Below are 4,595 nucleotides of genomic sequence, written 5' to 3'. Positions count from 1 at the left end.
GTCAGTGAGAATTTCTTTCCCCACCCTAATCCTAACCACGGCACAAAATCTTACATTCAGCCGCAGTTGAGGGACTACTGGTAATTTTTCATCTACTGTTTCTGTCCTTCATAAAAATGGAGACAGATTGAAAAAGGAGGGCTTTTTAAAACTAAGACGAGTCATAGCCTTCCCGGTAGGTGACCTTATAGTTTATCGCCTCTCAAAGTGAAAGGAACGCTGTTAATGCTATGCTGGGTTAACACTTGTAAACTGGGACTGTCTCTGGGGTGCCCTCCTTCTTGGGGTTTGTCTTGTCTTTTTTAGGAAGCAGTGCTGGATCTTGGCAGCATTTAGAGAGCCACACTGGCTTCATAAACCCATGTTTATATAGTTTTGTCTGAAGTGTATACTCCACATTGTTGCGTTTTGAGTCCATGCAGTGTCAGGTCTGAGTGTGAGCCCTAGGGCGCTTGGCTGTAGTTGAGTTTGCAGAAATTCTTACGTTGATTATTTTAAAAAATGATGTGTTGAAAGCATGATCTTAGGAGTCCAGATGACTTGAGTTCACATCCTGCGCTTGCTGATTCGCCTGGGGCAAATAACCAGTCTCTTGAGTGCCAGTTTCCTCAACCAGGAAGGCAGAAAAGACCAATTGTTTTTTTCTTTTAATGTGGTGGTGAGTTTGGAAATAACATATATAAAGTGTTTTAGTAGAGTGTCTAGTACGTAGCACTGCATACCTAATATTGACCATCGCCATTATCATTAAAAGATGTAGTTCAACAGAATTTAGTACCAAAATGGATACCTGGAGTTTTCAAAATTTTTGGTTTTAGGATTCCTTTGACGTTCTTAAAAATTATTGGAATTCCATGGAACTTTTGATTATGTGGCTTATCTCTGTTGATGTTTACTATACTAGAATTAAAACTGAGAAATTTTGAAAATATTTATTAATTAAGAATGATGGTAATAACCCCTTTATATTTTATTATAAATAGCATTTTATGAAAATAATTATTTTTCAAAACAGAAAAAGTAATGAGCAGAATTATATTGCTTTATACTTTTGCAAATTTCATTAATGTGTGGCTGAAGAGAAGACAGCTGGATTCTCTTACCTGCTTCTTCATTCAATCTCTTGTGCTATCGTATGTTCCTCAACCTCTGGAAAACTCCATCGAACACTGGGGAGAGAAGAAGAGTAGAAAAGATAAATAGTGCCTTGGTATCAACATGAAAATGGTTTTGACCCTGTGGACCCCTGGGGATTCCTCAGACCACATGTTGAAACTGCTGACCAAGAGTTGTTCTGGGAGTCTGAATGGGTCTCTTTCTTCATTTGTAGGTTCTTGCCAGGCTGTGTGAGCAGGAGCCCGCTGCTCTTCCCCACTCAGGTAAGCCTGCAAGCAAGGCATCCTCACTTCAGAGAGGCATGTTGCTTTTTAAATTGGGGTTTTGTGTCCCACTAATTTTTTTTAAAAGATTGTTTTGGTTTCCCTAGGCTGATAGAGTGTATGTTTTTATTTTGTCACTCTTCCACAGCAAATACATGGGTGAGCATTGTTTTAAGAAAGCTCATTTGAATTTTGGAGTTGCCTAGTTTCAAAGCCTCTGGAGGCTTTGAAAGGAGTCACTGAAGAGTTGCTGTGAGCATCCCTGAATGCGTTTAAAAGGATCTGCTTTTAATAATTGGTTTGTGTGTTATCTACATGGAGCATCCCTTATATTAGAGGTACAACACGTGAGCATGTTGGTGGGTAAAGAGCTGCCAAAGGCTTCTCTCCCCGAATAGGATGTGCCCTGGACCCACTGAGAGCGGCCGTTGTGAGGAAGGTGATCAAGGGAGTGGTGGGGCAAGTCCAGCCTGCTCTGCCCGGGGCTGGGGGCACGGTCATCTAAACCCCTTCCTTGGCTGCAGAATAAAGGCAGAGGTGCTCCCTTACTTATGTGTGTGCACAAATACTGCATTTCCTGTAGCAGCAGGAAATAAGATGGGCTTGTGAAGGAGCCTGTCGGAAGTAACCACCCCCAGGACATTTGTCCTCCAGCTTTGGATTGTCAAAAATGGATTCCCATCCTTTCCTCTCAGTCTGTGTCTACACAACAATGCACACAGGCACATGGCACATGCACGCACCCACACACACAGTTTTCAGGTTACAAACTTCATGACCTTTTACCCCTAAGCACTTCAGTGCGATAGAGATATTTGCTTGGGTAACAGAGGTTTAGTTATCAACTTCAGATAGCTAATATCGATTCCTTACTCACACCAAATCTATTATTTGTATCCCAGTTTTACCATTTGCTCGAAAATGTCCTTTGTAGCATCATTCCCCTCCATATAGGGTCCCTCTAGGGTCAGGCGCTGCATTTAGTTGCTGTGTCCCTTGATCAATCATTATTTCCATAGCCTTTGTCTTTTATGCGTGTTGGTGCATTTTGAGGTCTGTGGCCTGGGAGCTTGCCTTTAAAAATGATTTGGGGGGCCGGGCACAGTGACTCAAACCTGTAATCCCAGCATTTTGGAAGGCCGAGGCGGACGGATCACCTGAGATGGGGAGTTCGAGACCACCCTGACCAACATGGAGAAACCCCGTCTCTACTAAAAATACAAAAAAATTAGACGGGCATGGTGGCTCACGCCTGTAATCCCAGCTACTTGGGAGGCTGAGGCAGGAGAATCACTTGAACCTGGGAGGCGGAGGTTGCGGTGAGCCGAGATTGCGCCATTGCACTCCAGCCTGGGCAGCTAGACTTTGTCTCAAGGAAAAAATAAATAAATAAATATATATATATATATATATATATATATATATATATATATATGTATGTATGTATATATGTGTGTATATATATATATATATATATATGTATGTATATGTGTGTGTATATATATATATATGTATTTGACGATAAACATTTAAACTGTGACAGAATACCACTGGAGGAGGGGGTGGATATCCACTACGAGTTTCTTATAAATTGTGAGTACATAAGTACATACATGTTGAGTGGTGAAATTGTGAAAATCCTTGCAAGAAAAGAGGTGGAATGGAGGAGAGAACAGTAGACACAGACTCTGCCTGAAAAGAATGTGTTCCCTCCTAATGGGAATCAAGAGACTTGGCTGAAGTGCTAATGAAAACCGTTGAGACTGAGTAAATTCTGATGCGGAAGTAAAACGAGGGAGATAGTGAACATTTTCAGCATAGGAAATGGGAGGTGCTTCCCACCTAGGTTTAAGGAAAAACCAACACATTGTACGGCTGCCCTTGTCCCTCCCAGTTCCTTGGTTTCCTCCGAATCTAAGTGATGAGTTCTTTCTGTTACTAGCCTGCTGGCCAGCTAAGGGACACCTCATGCTGCCCGGACACAGCTGGGGACCTTCTGGCCTTTACTGCACTTTGGAGTACTATGGGAAACAGGCACTGTGTGGACTTCACACTTTCTGAATTTTCCTTAGTCAGGTGTATACAGACGTGTACCTAGAGGACATGGTCTCCAGATTAATTTCTTTATGGGTAATCTGATGAGTGCAGTTCTGGAATATGCTACCGTATACAATAGGGAGCACATTTGTGATGCATTGTGTTAGCCCCTTTTTGTGTTGCTATAAAGAAATACCTGAGGCTGGATAATTTACAAAGAAAAGGGGTTTAATTCACGGTTCTGCAGGCTGTACAGGAAGCATGGTACTGGCATCTGCTTGGCTTCTGGTGAGACCTAAGAAAGCTTTTAGGTAGAAGTTGAAGCGGAAGCCAGCATGTCACGTGGTGAGAGTGGAAGAATCAGACAGAAGGGGGAGGTCCCAGACTCTCTTAAACAACCATATTTCATGTGAACTAACTGAAGGAGAACTCACTTAACCCCAAGGGGACGGTGCTAAGCCATTCATGAGGGATCCACCTCCATGATTCAGTCATCTCTCACTAGGCCCCACCTCCAACCCTGGGATCACATTTCAACATGAGATTTGGAGGGAGCAAATACCCAAGCCATATCATGTGTGTGCACGATTTTAGGCAAACTTCATTTTACCAAAAGTTCTTCAGTTTTTAAATTTGTAAGTATATTAATTTCAGGTAACACAGAAATGTATAAAATGGAGCATAAATCTCTCCTGCAGTCTCATTCCCCAAAGGCAATCACTGTCAACAGACTTTTCAGAAACCCACATGCACACTTAAAAAAATTGAATTATTCAATATGTACTATTTTTGACCACAGATATGTTGTACATTGCCTTTATTTTCACTTACCAATATATTGTAGACATCTTCTCATTGTCTGGTTTTAATGTTAAAAAAAGTGTTTTATCGTTTTAGTGTTTATGTTCTAAAAAATTAATACTGAGGTTAGGTTTACATGCTTATTGACCACTTGTATTTGTTTTGCTCATTTATCTTTTGGAGTTTTACATGTACTGATATTTTAAATCTCTATTCTGGATATTAGTCTTTTGTCACATGTAACAAACAAGTATTTTTTCCAATTCTTAGTTTGCCCTTGAGCTTTCTGGAGATACCTTTTGCAATAGAGTAGTTTTGAGTTCTCTTTTATCAAGTATGTCAGTCTCTCAGTCTCTCCCTAAGTTTAGCTCCTTTTTT

At 41.0% G+C, this 4,595-nt stretch overlaps 1 protein-coding gene across 11 annotated transcripts in view; it reads left to right on the top strand.

Moving 5' to 3' along the window:
• SIPA1L2 (signal induced proliferation associated 1 like 2) overlaps positions 1-4,595 on the top strand; it is a 232,532-nt gene that overhangs the window by 54,944 nt on the left and 172,993 nt on the right. For 8 of the 11 annotated variants that reach the window (NM_001377488.1, XM_017001896.2, XM_047426142.1 and 5 more), the window contains one exon: positions 1,331-1,379. The exons of 2 other annotated variants lie outside the window; for them this stretch is intronic. The gene's annotated coding sequence lies outside the window, so the exon portion shown is untranslated. Of the gene's footprint in view, positions 1-1,324; positions 1,380-4,595 lie in introns of those variants that run through there. One more of the 11 variants, XM_047426145.1, reaches the window with a different exon arrangement.

This window comes from Homo sapiens, chromosome 1 (assembly GCF_000001405.40).
Source record: "Homo sapiens chromosome 1, GRCh38.p14 Primary Assembly".
NCBI classification, from domain to species: domain Eukaryota; kingdom Metazoa; phylum Chordata; class Mammalia; order Primates; family Hominidae; genus Homo; species Homo sapiens.
Note: the sequence above shows the minus strand (reverse complement) of the source record. Positions and strands in the feature narration are given on the sequence as shown.